Genomic DNA, 22,147 nt, shown 5'->3' on the forward strand with positions numbered 1-22,147 from the left:
ATGAAATTGGATCCCTGCCTCAGCATCAACCAGGATGAATTCCAAAAGGATCAATGATTTTACATGTTAAGAAAACCATAAAAATCCTAGAAGAAAATGTGGGAACATTCCTTTCTAGCCTGGGAGAGGGCAGGCTTTTCCACCTATGGTTCATAATCCAGAAGCCATAAAAGAGAGGTCTGATCCAACCACATAAACCCAAAAAATGTCTGCAAGGCAAAAAGTCTCGGAAGCAAAGTCAAAGGCCAACCTAGGCCGTGTGCGGTGGCTCACGCCTATAATCCCAGCACTTTGGGAGGCCGAGGCAGGCGGATCACTTGAGGTCAGGAGTTTGAGATCAGCCTGGCCAACATGGTGAAACCCTGTCTTTATTAAAAATACAACAAAACAAAACAAAACAAAACAAAAAACAAAAAACTAAAAAACCAATTAGCCGGGTGTGCTGGCGTGTGCTTGTGATCCCAGTTACTTGGGAGGCTGAGGCAGGACAATTGCTTGAACCTGGGAGGCAGAGGTTGCAGTGGGCCGAGATCACACCACTGCACCCCGGCCTCGGTGACAGAGTGAGACTCTGGCTCAAAAACAAAGCCAACCTACGAAACATCTATCTAACTCATGTCACAAAGGCTAGATATCTTGACATACAAACATTCCTACAAGACATCTCTCAAAACATCAGCAACCTAGTAGAAACAAGATATCCAAAGATATGAATGAAGAGATCACAGAACAGAAAATACAAATAGCCCTGAAATATCTGGATTATGAACGAGGATTAACTTTTGTAGCTATAAGTGCTAATCTTCATTCATAATAAAAGAAATGAAGGTTAAAATTACAATCATATCAGATCAAAAAAATGAAAAAAATCTCATGACCTACTGTGTGAAGGGCAATGAGGACAGTCACCTCACACACTGGTGAGAGGATAAATTGGAACCTTCTCTCTAGAGAGTGATCTGGCAATACTAAGATTTAAAATGTATGTGCCAATTGCCACAGCAATTATCCTCCTAGAAATGTATTCTGCAGCTATGTTAACACATATGTAAAAGGATGTGGTGTAAAAACAGTCCTCATCACAGAAGTGTTGAGATAGTAAAAGTATTAGAAATGGCACAGATGGAACTGATTAAATAGAGGATGGTGCAGCTGCAGATGGAATACTATGCAGCCATGAAAAAGGTAATGTTCTGTAAGTTCTGATATGGAACTATCTCCAGGGTGTATTGCTGCATTTTAAAAGGGTATAGAATGGCATGTAGTAAAAATGATCTGTAGACTTTTGTTTGTATAAACAGGACATCTCTAGGTGTGGGTGCAAGGAAGTGGTCATCAGGGTTGCTTCTGAGTAGGGGGGCCAAATGGCCAGAGGGCAGGAGCAGCAGGGAGACTGACCTCTCACCCTGGGCTCTTTCACACCATTGGATATTTGTGTATAGCTCACTGAGTCAAAAGCGTCAACACACTTGAACTTGACAGTGGCTGGAGAAAGCTCTGTGTCTTTGCTCCTCCCAGCTTTTGCTGCCTTTCCTCACACTCATGTCCAAGCTGCCTCCAGGGAAGCTCAGGCTGGGATTATTATTCTGAGAGCCTGAGGTCCTGAGAGCAGAGCCCTGGGGACTGGCGTGAAGTGCAGCCCAGATGAGACGAAGGAGGGGCTGTAAGAGTCAACATCGCTCCCTCACTGAGCACTCCTCGTGCACCGGCAGCTCCACTGAATGCGTTCCCCAGAGCATTTCATGTAACCCCTGCTGCAACCTCACTAGGTGCATTTTACAGATGAGGAAACTGAGGCCCAGAAAGGCTACCATGCCCAGGGTCATGTCCTCTTCTGACCTGGGGCAGAGAGAGGTGAGATACGCACTTCACGACCCCCGCGGATCCCACGCAGGGGCTGCTGGGAAGGCACTTTCGTCCGTGGGAGGACCCAGGCCCCCTTTCTTGGCCACGCCGTTTTTTTTTCCTACCACAGAAAGAGCGGTAATGTGTACTGAGCTTCCCCAGAGGTCCCCGGGAGGGTGTGTGGTGTGTCTGAATCACCCGGCTGGTGAGGCGGTAGTCCAGCCAGAGGCAGTCCCGTAGGACCCTAAACCCATGGCACCATCCATGGTCTCCAGAGGGGTGGCAGAGTGGGAATGGCAGCGTTCCGGAGACTGATCTCGTTGCTCGTGGGACAGTCCACCTCAAGCTCATCTACAAGACTTTAAAACACACTGCCCACCACTTCTCTTGGGCCCTACTGGCACCATGTCACCAGGCTACCATTGCTTCATGCCAGCACCAGCGTCACAGCCTCCTAATCCGACTCCTCCTCCTGGGCACCCAACTCCACCAGCCAGAGGGGCGTTTACAAAATGCCCAACCCCTTTCCAGGGCTTCCCACGGCACACGGAATGAAATCCCAACTCCTGGCCCAGCCTTCCTGCATGGCCCAGTCCTTGCCAGTCTCCAATGCCCTTGGGCACGGTGCTCTGCTCCATCCTTCCCTCTCAGTTCCCCAAGCTGCCAGCTCCCTTCAGCCTTAGACATTCACATTGGCTGTGTTCCTGCAGCCGGCATGGCATGGCTCCACTGCCACTGCCTTGGACAAACCTTCCACGACTGTGACATCCAAAGATGTCAAAGACAAGGCTGGGCATGGTGGCTCAGGCCTGTAATCCCAGCACTTTGGGAGGCCGAGGCGGGTGGATCACCTGAGGTCAGGAGTTAGAGACCAGCTTGGCCAACATGGCAAAAACCCATCTATACTAAAACAATTATTAGCTGGGTGTGGTGGTGGGCATCTGTAATCCCAGCTACTCAGGAGGCTGAGGCAGAAGAATCGCTTGAACCTGGGAGGCAGATGTTGCAGTGAGCCAATATCAGGCCACTGCACTCCAGCCTGGGCAACAGAGTAAGACTCCGTCTCAAAAAAACAAACAAAAAACAGAGATGTCAAAGACAAAGATGTCTCCTCACCCTTCCCCCATTGGTTTCTATCATCTTTCCCTGGTTATTTCCTTCCATGCACTGTTGCAATCGGTAGTGGTTATTTACTTGTGGGTCGGGGACTGTTTCTGTCAGCCCCCGGAAAGGCACTTCCCTAAGAGGGACCATATCCCTGGGACCACATCTGCCCAGTTCATTGTCTCCTTGCTGCCCAGATTGGAGCTGGGTAGGCACAAGCACTTAAGTCAGCATGTGCTGAATGGATGAGGGCTGAAGAGGGCAAGAGCACCTGGAGGCCGTCACATCTTCGGAGCCCTCTGCACTTGACTTCTTGTACTAGGTTTGTGCTGTGGCTGCCACAGCCTCTGGAGATGGACTGTACGGCCTGCAGCAAGCTGGGCATCCAACAGTGATGGATGTGACAGAGGGGTTGGTCCACGCCAGCCAGGGGTTCCTGCTTAGAAAGCGAGCTGGCTGCAGGGCTTCCAGGTGACCATATGGTGGTGTCCCGAGGTCCAGCCCTTCTGCGCACGGCCTTCAAACATGTGTTCCAAGCATAGGATGGTTCCACTGACTTTGCTGTCAGGAATGTGGGAGCAATTCAGTAAAAGCCAGATGACCTGGGAAATACGTGAAAGCATCTGATGAAGTAGAGGGTTTGATGATTCTGGGGCCTCTTAGGCTGAATGGATGTGGCCCAAGAGAGTTCCTCAAACTGGGAACCTTGCCCATTCACACCTCGGGGTTAGGAGCAGGTGGGCAAGCTGCTTGTTGTGTTACCAGGTAAGCAGAGGTGCGTGGTGATCTTGAGAGTCCCCGATGCCCACCTTAAGCTCTTAGCCTCTCTGGGAACAATCATGTCTCCAGTGTTTCCCAAAGGGTGTGTCCAGCCTTCCTGAAATGCAAATGGGGAGGAGTCTTTCCCATAGCCTGGCAGGGGCCAGGCCTACACACCAGGAGGTGAGGGCTGGCTTCAGTGGCCTGAGGCTGCCAGGGTCACTGTCCCTGCTCACAGCCCCACACCTGCTCCTCTCTGTTGCCCCTGGACTCCCAACTTCCCCTCTGCCTGTGACTTGCTCTCCCTGGTCCTGATTGAGCCTCTCTTCCTCTCCCATTCAGCCAGCTCAGGTAAGATGCTGCACCCTGGCTCCCAGCTCTCAGAAGCATGAACCCATCCCCAGAATAAAGACAACAACCTTCAGGGACTTTTCCCTAAAGGAGCAGAATGGGCCAGGCTAGTCTCGAACTCCTGACCTCAAGCGATTTGCCCGCCTTGGCCTCCCAAAGTGCTGGGATTACAAAGTGAGCCACTGTGCCTAGCCTGAGTCAGTTTTTTAAAATAAAGAAAACTTGTGGATTTCATCAAATGCTTTATCTGCATTTACTGAGACGATCATGTGGTTTTATCTCTTATTCAATAATATGATGTACTGCATTGATTGATTTTGGATATTAAACCAACATTGAATTTTTGGGTTAAATCCCACTTGGTTTATAATCCTTTTGCTGGATTCCTTTGCTTGTATTGTTGAGGACTTTTATGTCTGTGTTCATAAAAGACATTGGTCTATAGTTTCTTTTTTTGTGATGTCTTTGTCTAGTTTTGGTATCAGAGATAATCTTGCTTCAGAATGAGTTGAGAAGTGTTCTCGCCATTTCTATTTTTTAAAGGGTTTGTGAAAGATTGTTATTAATTCTTCTTTAAGTGTTTGTTAGAATTCATCAGTGAAGCCATCCGATTCTGGGCTTTTCTTTGTAAGAAGTTTTTTGATCACTGATTGAATCTTTCTCTTTGTTACAGGTCTATTCAGATTTTTGACTTCTTGAATCAGTTTTGGCAGTTGTGTCTTTCTAGGAATGTGTCCATTTCACCTATGTTATCTAATTTGTAGGCATACAATTGTTACTAGTGTTTCCTTTTAATCCTTTTCATTTTTTTAAGGTTGCTAGTGATGTACCTTCCTTTCAGCCCTGATTTTGGTAATTTGAGACTCCAGTGTTTTTCTTGGTCAGTCTAGTTAAAGGTTTGTCAGTTTTGTTGATCTCCTCAAAGAATCAACTTTTGGTTTTGTTGATTTTCTCTACTGTTTTTCTATTTTCCATTTCATTTCTTTCTACCCTGATTTTATGATTTTTTTTTCTTTTGCTTGCTTTGGGTTAAGTTTGCTCTTATTTTTCTAGTTTCTTTTATTTTTTAATTTTTATTTCATATTTATTTATTTACTTATTTATTTGAGACTGAGACTGGCTCTGTCACCCAGGCTGGAGTGCAGTGGCACGATCTCGGCTCACTGCAACCTCTGCCTCCTGGGTTCAAGCGATTCTCCTGCCTCAGCCTCCCGAGTAGCTGGGATTACAGGCGCCCACCACCACACCCAGCTAATTTTTGTATTATTAGTAGAGAGGGGGTTTCACCATGTTGACCAGGTTGGTCTAGAACTCCTGACCTCAGATGATCCGCCCGCCTTGGCCTCCCAAAGTGCTGGGATTGCAGGCATAAGCCACCGTGCCTGGCTACTCTCCTTCAATTTTTTTCTTTTTTTTTTGAGACGGAGTCTCGCTCTGTTGCCCAGGCTGGAGTGCAGTGGTGAGATCTTGGCTCACTGCAACCTCCGCTCCTCCAGGTTTAAGCAATTCTCTGCCTCAGCCTCTGGAGTAGCTGGGATTACAGGCGTGTGCATGCCACCATGCCCGGCTAATTTTTTGTATTTTTTTTTTTCAGTAGAGACCATCTTGGCCGGGCTGGTCTTGAACTCCTGACCTTGTGATCCACCCGCCTCAGCCTCCCAAAATGCTGGGATTACAGGCATGAGCCACTGCACCCGGCCTCAATTTTCAAAGATAGTTTTGCCAGGTATAGATTTCTTTGTTGATAGTTTTTTTCCTTTTGTCATTTATTGAATATGCCATCCTACTGCCGTTTGGCTTTCATGGTTTCTGATGAGAAACCAGTTGTTAATATTATTGAGCATCCCTTTTCTGTGATATGCTATTTCTCTCATGATGCTTTCAAGATTCTTTTTTTTTTTTGAGACAGAGTCTCACTGTGTTGTCCAGGCTGGAGTGCAGTGGCATGATCTTGGCTCACTGTAATCTCTGCCTCCCAGGTCCGAGAGATTCAAGCAACTCTCGTGCCTCAGCCTCCTGAGTAGCTGGGACTATAGGCACGCCTGGCTAGCTTTTGTATTTATTTATTTATTTTTTTTAGTAGAGATGGGATTTCACCATGTTGGCCAGGCTGGTCTTGAATTCCTGACCTCATGTGATCCTCCTGCCTTGGCCTCCCAAAGTGCTGGGATTACAGGCGTGAGCCACCATGCCTGGCCAAGATTCATTTTTTTTGCTTTTAGCAATGCAACTATGATGTGCTTAGGTATGTATCTCTTTGAGTTTATCATCCTTGGAGTTTGTTGAGCTTCTTAGATGTGTAGATTAATGGTTTTCTTCAAAATTGAGAAGATTTGGCCATTTTTTTCAAATATTCCTTTGTTTCTTTCTCTCCTCTGCTTCTGGGACTACCATTATGTGTATGTTGGGACACTCGATAGTGTCTTTGAGGCTCTGTTCATTTTCCTTCATTCTTTTCTCCTTCTGTTCCTTAGGCTGGATGATATCAATTGACCTATGTGCAAGTTTGCTGATTCTTTCTTCTGTCGGCCCAAATCTACTGTCGAAGCCCTCTACTGAATTTTTCATTTCAGTTATGGTACTTTGCACCTCCAGAATTTTTATTTGGTTCTTTAAAAAATACTTTTGATCTGTTTATTGATATTCTCCATTTAGAGGGACATGATTCTCATGCTTTCCTTTATTTCTTCAAACATGGTTTCCTTTAGTTTTTTGAACATATTTATAATAACCAATACTACATCTCTAGCAAGTACATCTGGGTTTCCTCAGGGATAGTTTCTATTGACTGTACTTTTTCCTTTTTTACTGCCCTACTTTCCTGTCTTCTAATTTTTTGCTAAAAATTGGACATCTAAACTAATCTAATGTGGCTACTCTGGAAATCAGATCCCTCTTCTCCTTTCCAGGATTTGTTGTTGTTGCTGTTTATTGTTGTTGCTCTCCGTTGAGGGCCTTTCCTGGACTAATTCTTTAAAGTGTGTCTTTTTTGTCATGTGCAGCTACTGACTTCTCTGCTTGTTTAGCTTAGTGGTCAGGTTAGACAGAGATTTCCTTGAATGCCTTGATCCAACGTCTCCCACTCTGTGCTGGCGGGCTGTGTGTGCTGGAGCACAGCTTCAATCCACCTCTGTGTGCGCCGGAGCACGGCTTCAATGCTGCACCTGTGTGTGCGCCGGAGCACAGCTTCAATGCTGCACCTCGCACAGCACAGCTTCAATCCACCTCTGTGTGCGCCGCAGCACAGCTTCAATTCACCTCTGTGTGCGCCGAAGCACAGCTTCAATGCTGCACCTCTGTGTGCGCCGGAGCACAGCCTCAATCCACCTCTGTGTGTGCCGGAGCACAGCTTCAATCCACCTCTGTGTGTGCTGGAGCACGGCTTCAATGCTGCACCTCTGTGTGTGCCGCTCTGTGTGTGCCGGAGCACGGCTTCAATGCTGCACCTCTGTGTGCGCCGGAGCACGGCTTCAATCCACCTGTGTGTGCGCCGGAGCACAGCTTCAATGCTGCACCTCTGTGTGTGCTGGAGCACAGCTTCAATCCACCTCTGTGTGCGCCGGAGCACAGCGTCAATCCACCTCTGTGTGCGCCGGAGCACGGCTTCAATCCACCTCTGTGTGCGCCGGAGCACGGCTTCAATCCACCTCTGTGTGCGCCGGAGCACGGCTTCAATCCACCTGTGTGTGCGCCGGAGCACGGCTTCAATCCACCTGTGTGTGCGCCGGAGCACGGCTTCAATCCACCTGTGTGTGCGCCGGAGCACGGCTTCAATCCACCTCTGTGTGTGCCGGAGCACGGCTTCAATGCTGCACCTCTGTGTGTGCTGGAGCACGGCTTCGATGCTCCACCACATTACAACTCTGCCTTTGTCTTCATTTCCTGCTTGAACAATCTCAAGGTCAGCCAGAGGTGAGAGACTGGGGCTCCAAGACAGGTTTTTAATGGACATGTACATAGCTGATGTGCCTTCCAGATACCCTAGAATAAGCTGGAGCTTTTCAAAGCTCCTTTGAACATCTCATTCCCTATATTTTTATTGTAAGTTTTCAAGTCATCCACTGGTGTTATCACCTCAAGCAGCTTCAATGTTCAACAATTGCTGCTGATTATTTTTGTTAAGCATCCTGGGGACAGGGCTCTTTGTTCTAAGCAAGCTGTGCATAGGTCACTTAAAGACAAGCCTTGGGTATGGTGCTTTTCCATGGAGCTGCCAGACAAGTCAAATAGTGACAGTTCTCTGGGGATGAGCATTTGCAAGCTTCAAACCTGTTCTGCTTCCTCCAAGTGGCTGCTAGTTTTCACAAACAAGTACTGTGGTTGTGACACTGCTGTTTGTTTGTTTGTTTTTTCCTGACAGAGTCTAGCTCTGTTGCCCAGGCTGGAGTGCAGTGGTGCAGTCTCAGCTCACTGCAACCTCTGCCTCCTGGGTTCAAGCGATTCTTGTGCCTCAACCTCTGAGTAGCTGGGACTACAGGTATGCACCACCATGCCTGGCTAATTTTTGTATTTTTAGTAGAGATGGGGTTTCACCATGTTGGCCAGGCTGGTCTCAAACTCCTGGCCTCAAGCAATCTACCTGCCTCGGCCTCCCAAAGTGCTGGGATTACATGTGTGTGCCATGCATGGTTTTTAAAGCTGGTTTTTAAGGCTACCATGAGCTTGAGAGAGGAGAAAATTAAAATGCTACAAATCTTACTGTTCTTGTTAAGAGCAAAATTCAGATATTTCCTGAATAAACATTTCTTGGGCTGTGGCAAAACTTCTGTTCATTTCCAGAGTTCTGAAAAGGTCCATCTTCCCCCTTGTTTTTGCTCCTTTATGGAGAAGATCTTTAGAAGTCCTCATTCCGCCATTCCAGAAGTGCTTCTTCCACTGGATTTTTAGAAAGAGTTTCTTGGGATCAGGGCAGATAAAAGACTCTAGCACAGACACTGTTGCCCGAAGGCTAGCAGCTGCGGAGACCCGGGAAGTGCCTCCGTTTGTCTCTGTAGGTTTGTGTAGGCACTGGCCAAGCAGTCTTCTGTGATCTTCATTTGCCCACAAGTGCCTCTTTCTCTCTCCCTTCTCTCCTCCTTCCCATCAATAAGCATTTATGGACCATCTCCTGAGTGGGGGCCTAACCTGCCCTGAGGAGCCCATGCTTTGGTGGAGAAGCAGGACAACTCTGCAGACCAGGCCAACACCTCAGGTGTGGGAAGCGCTGAGATGGAGGGAGGTGTCCAGGGCTGCGAGAGAAGGGGAGAGTGATGGACACTCTTGGGGATAAGAGGGTCTGGGAGGAGAGAGGATCCTCCAAAGCCCTTAGAAAGAAAGATGACTCCAGAGTGCAGGCACAGTTCTGGGATTCTCCAGCTAAGAAGCCAGCCAGGGGAAGGTGGGAAATCCATCCCATTTCAGATAGAGACATAGAAACACTGCAGGACTGTGGAGCTCCTGCTGGGAACTAGGGAGGCTACTGCACTGAAGGCAGGCAGGATCACCCTATCTGCAGGCCTGCAGCGGCCTCAGGGAGGAATCCCAGCCGGGCACTGCCCTACCTGGCAAAAAAGAGCCTTTCTCTGTGGGCGCGGTGGCTCACGCCTACAATCCCAGAGCTTTGGGAGGCCAAGGCGGGCGGATCACTTGAGGCCAGGTGTTCAAGACCAGCCTGGCCAACGTGGTGAAATCCCCCGTCTCTATTAAAAATACAAAAATTAGCTGGGCGTGGTGACGCGTGCCTGTAATCCAGCTACTGAGGTGGCTGAGACATGAGAATCGCTTGAATCTGGGAAGCAGAGGCTGCTGTGAGCTGAGATTGTGCCACTGCACTCCAGCCTGAGTGACAGAGCGACTGTCTCAAAAAAAAAAAAAAAAAAAAAAAAAAAAGGCTTTCTCCCAAGAGACACAGGAAAAAGGCCTCCGGCCTCCTTATACAAGGGAAGGCATGAAAGCCAGGATGTGCATATGTGTGTAACTATCTAGAAATAAACTCAAGGCCCAGACAAGGCCCATCAGAGAGGCACGTCTGTTCTGTGTAGCTCACTTTGTTTTTGGATAGGCAGACAATCGGGACACCACACTGGAAAAACAATGAGGGGGAGGGATCCTGCCCACCCCTTGGCCAGCAGCTGGCCTCTGGCAAGGTACTGTACCCCTTGGAGCCTCAGTTTCCTCATCAGCAAGTGGGTATAATAACATATTCTTATCTTGCAGTGTCTGAGGATCGCATGAGATAAAGGACTTGAAAGAGCCCAGCACGGGGCCACGGACCCAGTGAGTCTATCTTTCCTTGACTTTGAGGTTGTTTTAAACTTGAGTCATAAGTTAAATGGATTTTGGAGTAAGCTGAATAATATCATACTTTGTCCTAAAAAAATGACTCTGTGTTCCTCATCTCCTTCCAAAAAGCATGTCAGGAACTTATAATAAAAGGCAATAAAACCCTTTACGAGGGTAGAAAATAAGAGCTGAGTAATAAAGTGTGTATTTGGCAGGGTCTCGGGTGATTACACACAGAAGCCAGGCTAAAGGAAGCTCCAGCCATTGAACTCAAAACAGGCTTCAGCTTCCAGAAGTCAAGGCAGAGAGAGAAATGAAGGGTGCTTCTTGCCGGTGAGCGCTAAGGAGTGTATCTGGAGGGTCTCTGCGTAAGGAACTCGACACTGCAAACCAGTGGAACAAGGAGGCAGAAAGCCTGCGCCCAGCTCCAGGGAGAAGAGTCTGAGGCCTGGAGAAAACGTGCCACTGCCTCCCCTTGGGCCCAGTTGGCCCGGGGTCCTCTTGGTGGTGAGCCAGCCTGGCTTCGTCACCATGGCCACCTTGTGAAGTTGCTTAGGGGCTGGGCATTCATTCGTTCGCTGTTCTGTGCATTTACATGCCTGGGGGCTGCCCGTGCTGAGTGTGGGGCGATACCTCTTGGACAAAACCATTAGAGGTTTTTTTGGAGGAGATGCTTGAGCTAGGCTTGAAGGACAAAGGGTAATGATCTTGGGGTGGGAGTCCAGGTAGAGGAGGAGATGTTCTGGGTGCGGGAAGACATAAGAGTGAAGGCTCAGAAGGTGGAGAGCCCTGGACATCCATGGTGAGGCTGGAGGTGGGGACATGGCGTGGGGGGTGATGAGAGCTGCAGGAGGTCACGGCAGTGAGAAGAGAGAAGAGGACATGGGTCCGAGACATGGAGAAGGAGGCTCATGGGGACTTGGCGTGGGCAGGGAAGGGATCGAGGATGCAGCCAGGTGTCTACACAGGGAAGCAGGTGGCTAGATGCCTCCTCCCTGTGACGGGGAAGCCCAGGGAAGAAAGCTGGGGGAGATGCTGGCTTCGGCAGGGCAACGTCCAACCTCGGGGACCCGGAGGAGAGGATGTGGCTGGAGGCAGGGAGAGGACATGGTCAGTGTCACAGCAGTGGGAGACTGTGGGAGAGAGGAGAGGAGACGACCAAGGGAGATTCATTCACGGGGCAGGTGGGTCCCGTGAGAATGGCAAAGGAGCCCGGGTCACAGATGAGGGAGGAAGCGCAGGGAGGAAGCGCAGCCCAGACAGCCGGGACTGCCCAGCATGGGGGAGTGGCCAAGGGTGGGGGTCAAGAAAGAGAAAGACAGCAAAGCATCCAGTGTGGCCATCAGAGGTCAGCATGACTTTAGCTAAGACGATGTCAGAGGGGCTTAGGGAAGTCCCTGGGCGAAGGGGGCAATCTGCTGGGGACTGGGTAGGGGGAGTTCTGGGTGAAGCAGAGACAGCAGGAAGGAAGGGTGGTGAATACAGGTGCCTCTGTGGGCTGCAGGGAAGGGAGGTGGGGGAGTCTCCTCCTGGCGGCTCTGCCAAGGAAGGACAGGCCACGTCTGGGGAGGGATGAAACCCACAGGAGAACCCGGTTGTGCTGAAGGACCCATGGGGGAGGGTGTGGCTGGCGGAGTCATCACCTTCTGCCTCAGAGAGAGGGGGCTGCTCTGGAGTGGGGGACTAGGGGCCAACAACGAGGTTCGGGGGATGACTGGGGGCAGAGGGGACAGTCCTGGAATTGTGAATGCCAAGAAGCCCCGGAAAGGCAGTACTGGGTGCTGCGGCCTCAGGAAACGGCAGCTGGACTTGGAAGGGGGAGGAGCACCTGCCCAGGACCAAGGCATGACTCAGGGTGGGCAGCAGGTGGCCAGGCCCTGCAGTCAGAGCCTGGGGCCATGGTGGCTTCCAAGCCTTGGCTTAGGAGCTGAGAAAACCTGGGACTCACCAGGGTCGCCTCTTCTCCCAGGCTTGCCGCGCCGTCCAGGGGGCCCTAGACAGGAAAACAAGAATGCATTCATTGAGAAGGGAAGCCAGTGGACTTGGCTGCGTGGGGCATGCCCCAGCCACCCACCTGTCCGCTCGCAACAGCTTTCTGGGAGTGGCCTGCCCGAGGGGGTCTGCTGGCTGTGGAGGGGGAGATGCGTGGGGAGAAACCCCTTCCTTCTGCCACTACCTCGCCTGTTCCGCCAACCCCCCTCCCCAGGTGGCCGCATCCCTCATGCCCCACGCACCCATTCTGTCATTCAATCATCGGCTCACTCAGTCATTCCTAAGCCCTCCCCTAATCACAAAGATTCCCATGGGAGGCTCCTGAGGCAGATGCGTTTGCAGCTGAGAAACTTCAGACTTAGGAGGAAAGTAAGGGTGGGTTATCTTAGGAAAGCCCTGACAAACGCTGCTTCATATTCACTAAAGTAAAACAACAAAGCCAACACAACAAAGAGGCCATCACGGCCGCGCAGCGCCGAAATCCACTCATGACAGGCACTACACGATCCGCCTGCAGTCTCCGCCACTCGCTGGGGCCTCCAGCTCCTCCTTCCCCAGAGCCAGGGAGCTGCTCAGCCGCCTTCTGGGCTTCCTGTCCACGTCTGTCCTCCATCCGCGCGCTATAAGCCCTTCTGAATTTACGGTGCAGAACCCCCTACCTCCGCCTCTGGCCCTCTGCCCACATCAGACCCTGAGACCAGAGTAACCTCAGCGCTGAAGGAGACGCTTTGACTCTGGCCGTGGGAGCAGAGGTCTGAGGCCTCCCTCTCCCTCCCCTCACCTCTGTGGCGCTCACTGCCATCCTTCCTGGCGCCCCTTCTCGCCCCTGTTTCAGTGAAGTTGGGTGCAGGTACAAGATTGCAATGTGTAAATGGCATTTGATACGTCTTGCTCACCCACTGTATGCCAGGATCTGGGCTGGGCCTGGAGGCGACAGTGGGACAGGTTGTGACCCTATGACAAGGCACTGCCCTTTCCTGCAAAAGCCAACCTCAAACCCCGTCAAGAATTTCCAGAACAACCACGAAGGAGATGCAGGAGACTGGCCCCGATCGCGTCTGTGGCAGGATGGAAAAATGAGTGTGGGTGTCTGTGTGTGTCTGTTTGCATGTGTCTGTGTGTGTCTCTATGTATGTGTGTTTGTGTGCATGTGTGTGTCTGTGTTTTTGTGTCTGTGTTTCTGTGTGTGTGTCTGTGTATGTATGTTTGTGTCTGTGTGTCCTGTGGGAGGTGCTTCTCGACTTTTGTTAAGGGAAGGGGAGGAGGGAGGGCCAGTCTCTGAGAAACAGCGAGAGAGAAGAGATCCCTTCAGGTGGAGAGGGGCCCTCAGTGCTACACGACACGTCAAAAGATTTGCAGGCCCAGGGGTGAGGCGAGAATGAATTTCTTGCCAGCCTCAGGGACAGGGGACTTGAGGTGAGGATTGTTAAACAAAACTTAAAAATGAAAAACATGTTACTTCTTGCTCCCCTGAGTTTTAAGGGCAAAAGTGCATGCCAGGGACGTAGCCCTTGGTTTTCTCCCATCCTGGACACAGACCCTGAATTTGGGGTTTATGCTGGAATTGCCAGGGGCTGTGTTGAGCTGGTGAGGCTAGGACTCTGGGACCCTCAGAACAGACAACAGCTCCTCATACTGTGTGGGTTTACAGCTTATGAGGCACCTCCAGGCCCATGCTCCTGGCCGAGGCCTGCGACACCCACACTGTCCGGCCAATTACCTTCCTATCTCCACGTGCTTGTCCCACCAGCATCTCAGACCAGTTGTGGCCCAAACACCTGCCTTGGTCTCCTCCCCAGTGCCCTGTGCGGGGCTGATGGTGCCTGGGAACCTCCAGAGCCAGTCACACCGGATGACTGGCCCTGGTTATTAACTAAGCCCCAGGTTTGGGGGGCAGGTCAGCACTCTCGGGGGGGGCTTTCCTCCTCTCTGGGCCTGTTTTCAATGAGAGCGAGGTACGGGAACGGGAGCCCCCCGGCACACGCAGCACCATGTTCCTCGGGCTGTAGGAGGAAGAAGGCCCAGTGGCCACCCACAAAGCTTCGGGGCTCTTGCCAGGCCTCAGGTTGTGCTCGGCCCAGCGAAGCAGTAGGCCCCGGGCCCCAGGCAGAGTGAGGGGGCATGGCAGGAAAGGGGCCAGGAATGGGGGAAGTAGCCAGACTCTGCTAGATCCGAAGCAATGCAGCACTGTGCTTTCCTGATGGGAATCACTGGGTACGACTAGGAAGTTCTCCGTCTGGGTAACTGAAGCCAGATGAAGACATCTGCCTGTGTTGGGGCAGCTGAACTAACGGATTTGTCTGGTGGCTCTCCTGGGTGGCATGGTTAGGCAGAGGCTGATGGGGAGGGATGCTGGCAGGGTGGGCAGCTGCCCAGGCAGGGTAGGGTGCCTGCCTCCCAGGGTCACTGGGCGATGCCCCCTGCAGGCCTGGAGCTGGGCAGGACTGGGGTGTTGCTGAGCATACAGGGCCTGTGAGCCGCAGGCCAGGCAGGCTGGATGTGACCCCGACTGAATAGGGCCCTCGTGGAGGGAGAGAATGAAGCTGGTCATGCACACTCCTGAGGGCTGATCCTAACCAGGCACGGTGCTGGGGGCGCCATGTGACCGACTTGCAGATGGACAAGCGGTCTACCCTTTATTCTGAGCTCTGTACCTAAATGTCCAACTCCACTGGGAGGCACCACTTCCAAACTCAAGCTCACCTCCCGACTTCCCACGCGCCCCCTGCCTCCCTTGTTACTTACCTGCAGGTCCCAGCAGCACCCAAGCAGTCAAGCCAGAGACCCCCCCCCGGGCATCATCCTGCCCCAGCCCCCAACCTGGACCCCTTCCTTCTCAGCATCAGGCGAACGCTGCCCCTGCACTCAGTCCCCCACTCTGCCACTCGCTCTGCTGTGCTCGATTCTCCCTCCTGGCACAAAGGACCTCCTGCAGTATGTACTCTGCATCTCAGGCAGCTCTGTGTCCCCAACTCCCACTGCAGGACACGACCAAGTGATGTGTGTTCAGGGGAGGAAGGGCGGGGGGGAGAGGGAGGGAGGGAGAAGGGGACAGGCAGGGAGGCCTCAGGTCTCCTCACTGCTTCTGGGATTCTCCTGAAAAGACTGCAAGTCCAGCAAGCTCCAGGGCTTAGGAGAGACACAGGGCCACCTGGTCTGATGTGACGTGCCAGTGAGATAGGGAGTGCCTTCCACCCTTCCTTTCCCGGACTGCGAGAAGACAGGCGGTGAGGCCCTGGGAGAGGGCGAGTGTGCCGGAGCTGCACTCCCTGCTGACTGTGGGCTCCCACTCCACTGCTTCCACCAACAGAGAGGCCAGGCGGGCTTGGAGACTGGATTGCAGGAGCCGCAGGAGTGGGGGCAGGACGGACGGCCTCTCCTGAGTCTCTGGACTATCAGGTGCCGAGAGCCCACCATGGGCAGTGACCTGGGTTCAACATCTACTGGGTGCCAAGCCGGCTGCTCACCCAGTGAGCATGAACTTGGGACCCTTTTCCTCCAGGACTCCCTGTGCCCGCCCCGCAGGCTCACCTTCTGCCTCGCCAGTCCTCTGAAGAAGGTGCTAGTGTTCCCTGCACAGATGAGAACTCTGGGGCTAAGCCAGGTGAAGGGGCCCACCTAAGGCTGTGTTGCTAGAGCCTCCTGGAGCCCTTCATAGTCTGTGGCTCCCAAGTGCAAGGACAGTTGTGTCCCATATGCTGAGCTACCGGGCAGGCGGCCTTGGCGACCAGGGAGGCTGTTCCTCTGGGGATGTGGTCCCTTTGCTGGGGCTGGCTGTGCCCCAGGGCATCTGGGCCTGGTGTGGAGCAGGTTGCCCCGGCCCCTGGGAGAGCAGGGCCAGCTTGGCTGCAGCTAAGACCTGGCTCCAACAAGCAAAACCAGGCCTTTGGCCAGGTGGTTGGCCTCAGAGTTTTTGCTTGTTTCTTGTTTTTCTTCTTTCTACAAGCAGAAGAACCTTTCCTGCTGCTGCCTGAGACTCAGACACTCAGGAAGGCACTGGGAGTCTGTCTTGATTGATCTGCTCATGTGGAGAAGGGGAAACTGAGGCTGCAAGGGATAGGACAGGTCTTGCCCACGGATGCTGCTGGAAAACTTGTCCCAGCTAGAGGGTCTAGCGCTGAAGACCACCTTGGGCTGGGAGAAGGCCACTGTCCCCCACTCTGCATGGGACCCACACGGCTCTGAGCTAGGGGCTGGCTGCTGGGGAACGACAGTATTTCACCGTGGGTGCCACCACAGTGGCATCTGCAAAACTTCTTTTCAGAGGCTGGGGCGAGGGGTATGCCAGAGCAGGAGGGGAAGAACCTGACTGGTGGGGAAGCTGTGTCTTCTGAGCAACTTACTCAACCTCATTGAACCTTAGAGTTTCCAACTCGGGAGGATAGAGGTTTGGGAGTGGTGGCAACTAGACTTGCCTTGCGGAATCATGAACCAGATGAGCTGGCAGCAGACACACCAGCCTGGGGTACAAAAGGGGTGCTTCTTTGGGACCCCAAGAAATAACTGGCTGCAGGGGCCTCTGGGCCATCACAATGCGGGGCTTTAATGTAAGTGGGTTCTTTCCTCTGTGTGTGTGTGTGTGTGTGTGCGCGTGTGTGTGTGTGTGTGTGTGTAATGCGGGGCTTTAATGTAAGTGGGTTCTTTCGTGTGTGTGTGTGTGTCAGGGTCTCACTCTGTCACCCAGGCTGGAGTGGCGTGATCACAGTTCACTGCAGCTTCACACGTCTGGGCTCAAGTGATCATCCCACCATGGCCTCCCAAAGCGTTGGGATTATAGGCCTGAGCCACTGTGTAACTGTTTTTTGTTTTGTTTTGTTTTGTTTTTTTTTTGAGACGGAGTCTCACTCTGTTGCCCAGGCTGGAGTGCAGTGGCGTGATCTCGGCTCACCGCAACCTCCGCCTCCCAGGTTCAAGCGACTCCTCTGCCTCAGCCTCCCGAGCTGCTGGGACCACAGGCACGCGCCACCATGCCTGGCTAATTTTTGTATTTTTAGTAGAGACCGAGTTTCACCATGTTGGCCAGGCTGGTCTCGAACTCCTGACCTCAGGTGATCCACCTGCCTCGGCCTCCCAAAGTGCTGGGATTACAGGTGTGGGCTACCGCGCCCGGCCTGCGTAACTGGTTCTTATGAGTCCCCAGGTGGGTGAAGCTGGAGACACAGTGACTGCACCTCAGCAACACTGCAGGCAGGTTCGAGGTGCTGAGACGCCGACGGAGCCCTTGACTGCACTTTGAGCAAAGTGCAAGGGCAGCCCCGTGGGAAGCCGGGAGCTTTCCCGTGTCCCTAATCACTGCCTGTCTGTGAACCTCTGGATGAGAATGCAGAGGCTGAGCTCTTTGGGAATGAGGTTTCTCAATGAAATTTCAGGGTGCCAGGTCTAGCACAGGCCAGCCAGGGCTCCAGCTCGTTGCCCAATGACTCTGGACGTCTGAGAGCAGCATCAGCACAGTAAACAACTCCAGGGAGGCCTACGGCTTTCTCAGCACTGTTGGAGGCCAGACAAAAGGAAACCATTTCTAACTCATAAAAATCTCATCTCTGGTTGGGGTGGAGAACTCACGCCGCTGATCAACTCCAAAGGGGGGCCTCGAACCCCAACAGGCTTCCTCTGAGGCCTGAGCTGCAAGGATTTGGCTCTCTAAGTGGCTCCCCCCGCCCAGCCCTCCCGGCACCTCCCTCCCCAAGGACGTCCCCTCTAGCAATGCCCGTCTTATCAAGGTCCCTTCACAAACCTGCAGCCACCCCACCTCAGCCGCACTGGGGACAGCCTGCCCAGGCCTCTCCCTCTCACCCTACTGGCCTGGCTGCTTCCTGTGGGCTCCTGACTGGTTGCTCCGCCCTCAGCCCAACCCTGATCCTCCCTTCAGCCAGCCCCTGAGGACAGGGGGTTCATGGAATCCACACAACAGTCTGTGAAGTGCTTTCATTTCTCTCTACTCTTTTCTTCCTATAGATCAGGGGAACTGAGCCCCACAGAAGTCAAGAATTACTACCAGGCGCAACAGCCAAAAGGTGGAAGCAACCCAAACGTCCACGGACAGAAGAATGAGCAAACAGAACGTGCACTGATACAGCGGGACGTGAGTCAGCCCTGGAGAGGAAGGAGTTCCTGCGCACGCTGCAGCATGATGGGCCTGGAGGACGTCACGCGATGGGAAGTAAGCCAGACACAGAAAGACAAATACGGAAGGATTCCACTTCTGGAGGCTCCTGCAGTCGCCAGATTCACAGGGGCAGAAGGTGGAATAGGGGGTGCCATCGGTGGGCTGGGCTAGGGGAGGCGAGACTGGGAAGTCGGTGGGCCCAGAGACTCCGTTTTGCAACATGAAGAGTTCTGGAGAGGGATGGTGGTGGTGACGGGTGCGTGACAATGTGAACATACTGAATGCCACTCAAGTGTACACTTAAGGATGGTTAAGACGGGAAATGTTATGGTATGTGTATTTTATCACAATTAAAGAAAACAAAACAAACACCCCAGGGGTCTCAGCTACCCCTGAGCGAGGCTGTGAGCCGGGCCGTCCTGATGGAGACTGTGGGGATGCTGCTGGCAGCCACAGCAGTGTCCCGTGTGAGGAGCCCGGCACTGTGGAGTCACAGAGGATGGCATCCCCAAGGTCACACAGTGGAGAAATGGCGGAACTGGAACTGGAACCCGGGTCTGTGTGACTTCGGAGTCTGTCCCCTGAACATCTGTGTGTGATTTCCAGTGTGACCATGGCCAAGATTTTCTCATCCCACCACGTGTCGAGTGTCCCTTCAGACCTGGTCCTTCTCAACACCACTGGAAGCCCCTTTATATGACCCTCTTCCCAGAACTTTGGGAGGAAGTGGGGTGAGATGGCCTGAATCCTCCCAGACCTTCAGTCTGGAGCTCTATGAGATTGCTGGGGCTTCAGGGCCATCAGGGGGTGCACCTTGAGCAGAGAAGGCAAGCGAGGTCCCTGGAAAAGAGCTTCCGAGACCAGATCATTAAAACATCTCCCCAGACCATTTCATTTGTTTTACAAGTCTCAGACCAACCTCAGAGCTGAAAACTGCCCAACAAGGGAGCATTCTCTCTGCACATTCCCAGCTTGGCCTCACAAAGCCCTCTGTCCCTTGGAGGAGTGAAGGAGTAGGTGTGTCCCGGTGGGTGTCTCTAAGGTGGGCCTGGGGACCCTACTGCTCCTGGAGGGGACACTGAGACCCGGAGAGGCTGGCCAGCTTGCTCTGGTTCAGCCAGTGCTGCGGGCACTGTGGTCCTCCAGGAATTAAAATCACAGCCTCTTGCTCAACAAATACAGTTCATTCCGAAGCTGCTTACGTCCCCCCCAGAGTCATCTTCCACCATCCATCATGCTGAACCGGGAGCCGAACAGCGCTGGGTCCTGCTGCTTGTGGGAAAGTCCTGAAGCCATCTGGAAAGCCAACACCACAGGCTGCCAGGGTTTTAAGGCACCGCCATAGTCTTCGTCTTCGTCATGTTTGTTTGGAACAACGGTTACTGTCCAGGCTGGTGACAGACCCCGACCACCCCAGTGACCAGAGCTGGTTAAGGTGGCTTGGACACGGTGCCATTCGGTGGATGAATGAATAGGGCCCTGTTAGGAGGGGCTGGGGTGGTAGGTGTCCCCAGTGTCACATTCACAGAGGGCCTCAAATGTGGACATTCATGTGCTCTACAAAGGAGCTGACAGCACCAGATACCAGACAACCACAGCGGCCTGCAACAGTGTTTAATAAAAGCAAGAGCCGCCGGCACCATTTATCGAGTGTCAACTTTACACTTGGCCCCAATCTCGAGTCTACGGTATTAACTCACATATTCCTGACCTCAAACCCATGAGGAAGGCTGTTACTGTTATCTCCATTTTATAGATGAAGAAACTGAGGCACAGGGAGGTTAATGGGCTTTCTGAGGCCGTACGCTGGTAGCCGGTAGAGTCACGCAGTTCTGATTGAGAGTCATGTCCTTAAACACTGCCTGGCTCTCTCTCATTGAAGAAGATACTTATTAAAGGAGAGAGGTTAAATAGTCCACGGTTTTCATAACCTCTTCTTGGCATTTGTTAAGCTGCCCAGGATGTCTCTCAGAGGTCTGTGAATTAAATGTCTAATTACAAGGCCAGTGTGATCGGCAGCCCTGGAGACCCGAGACGACTCCAGCCCCCTTTATGCATAGCATGCCCTCCTTGTGCCATCCAAAATGCCTGCAGTTTCTGGGCTGGTTCCTCTCCCTGAGTTAGGAGCGGATTTAGTTAAGCTTTTCCAATGGGATTAAGGAGTCCGGACCCATGACGCATCCTGGTGACATACCAGCCGTGCTGCAGCCCCAACACACCGTGTTCTCTGGAGCTCCAAGAGCATCTCCCCAAGGGCTCCGGTTGGAGGGCTCAGGCAAGGGGGTGCCCGGTGGGCTGGGGATGGTAGGACCTGCTGACGGGCTGAGCCCAGCAGGCCACGTGCTGGGGGCTTTTACCATCTCCTCAATCCTCTCGAGTAATTCTGAGATGTACAAGATTGGCCCCATTTACAGATAAAAACCCTGAGGCCCACAGGCAAAAGGACCATCCAAGGCTCAGAGCTGGTCAGGCCAGGGCGTTTGCCTGCACCAGTGATGCCCTCCTAAGTTCTTCCTTTTCAGGGAAATGACTGTGGTTTTGGCACCAGAGCTAAACATGGAATGTCCCACCCAGAGGGTGCAACAAGAAGGACGGGAAGGGGCAGGGCACGGGAAGGGGACAAGGGCTGGTCACGGTCTCCGGATCAGACTGTCAGAGCTCTTGTCAGTGCCTCCAGTCAAGGGGCTGAGGTTGCCCAGGGAGGAAAAGCATCAACGTTTTCTAGTAGAAGCACTGACTTTTTTTTTTTTTTTTTTTTTTCAAGACAAATAATCTTTTATTCATAGTCATGGTATCCTCCAGAGAAAATAAACTGATAATTGCTAATAAAAAAACAAGCACTGTATTCCTTGATTAGCTTGATTCCTTTGATTAGATTACAACAATCTTGTAGTCTCAAATTATTACGAGGTAAACAATAGGTTTTATTCACCTACTTTTTAATACAGCATATCTTAGCTGAACATAAAACCCAGAGAATGTATTACTGCGGAAACTGTGTTAAATTTTTTTTCTTCTGAAGCTGTGTGAAGAAAAGTTAGAGAGGTATTTGTTTAAGCAGTTTAAATATAATTCTACTTAGAATCCAACTGGTCTTCACGGATGGTCATTCCAGCACTATAAACTTATGTTATATCCACTAATACACGTTCGTAATTCGATGATTCTTAGATATTTACTTCTAGATAGGAATCAATTAGATAGACCTAAAGAAGTTAGAAAGTATTCTGAAAAACAAAGAAACATATATGAAATACGTCTGGGTTTGTTACCTTCTTAATATAATGTAACCTGTCTAGAGATTTCCAGAATGAAAAACGTAAGGTTGGAATGACTCTTATTAGTTTAATAAGAAAATATGTATCCTATAAAATATTTATGATATACAGAGTTTTAACGAAATTTGAACGATTAAAATTAAGCCTTGGCTGGATTTCATCAAATTCAGTGTGGAGCTTTGGAGACTCATTGAACAGTTCTTTCCTTAGATAATTACCTTGCTTAGAAGTGCTCCTATCCAGACAGAATTCCCGATTTTTTTCACTTACTAAGAGAAGTCTGTGCCTTCATGCCTTTATAAATGGAGTAAAGCATGAATACATTTTCTAGGAAGAGGGATCTTGTTTATTGGAATCAAACTATTTTAACTAGAATTATAGTAAGGAAAAATTCCAACCACAGTGATATTTAAAATGGTTTTATTCTCTTTCTTAGCTTTTATCCATCTCT

The 22,147-nt window shown here is 51.5% G+C and overlaps 1 protein-coding gene across 11 annotated transcripts in view, besides 2 other annotated features; it reads right to left on the reverse strand.

Annotated features, from left to right (window-relative positions):
* Positions 1 to 22,147, reverse strand: part of COL23A1 (collagen type XXIII alpha 1 chain) — a 352,776-nt gene that overhangs the window by 56,989 nt on the left and 273,640 nt on the right. For all 11 annotated transcript variants that reach the window (XM_011534691.3, XM_011534690.3, XM_011534688.3 and 8 more), the window contains exon 3: positions 12,269 to 12,313. In XM_011534691.3, the coding sequence (XP_011532993.1) occupies positions 12,269 to 12,313 (45 nt within the window). The remainder of the gene's footprint in view (positions 1 to 12,268; positions 12,314 to 22,147) is intronic.
* Positions 11,833 to 12,344: an enhancer, noted in NCBI's record as "H3K4me1 hESC enhancer chr5:177733440-177733951 (GRCh37/hg19 assembly coordinates)". NCBI's record gives its function as "activates a minimal SCP1, AML or CMV promoter by ChIP-STARR-seq in naive H9 embryonic stem cells {active_cell/tissue: H9 hESC(naive)}" and the evidence as "EXISTENCE:reporter gene assay evidence [ECO:0000049][PMID:30033119]".
* Positions 18,003 to 18,505: an enhancer, noted in NCBI's record as "H3K4me1 hESC enhancer chr5:177739610-177740112 (GRCh37/hg19 assembly coordinates)". NCBI's record gives its function as "activates a minimal SCP1, AML or CMV promoter by ChIP-STARR-seq in naive and primed H9 embryonic stem cells {active_cell/tissue: H9 hESC(naive and primed)}" and the evidence as "EXISTENCE:reporter gene assay evidence [ECO:0000049][PMID:30033119]".

The sequence above is a fragment of the Homo sapiens genome, chromosome 5 (assembly GCF_000001405.40).
Source record: "Homo sapiens chromosome 5, GRCh38.p14 Primary Assembly".
Taxonomy (NCBI): Eukaryota; Metazoa; Chordata; class Mammalia; order Primates; family Hominidae; genus Homo; species Homo sapiens.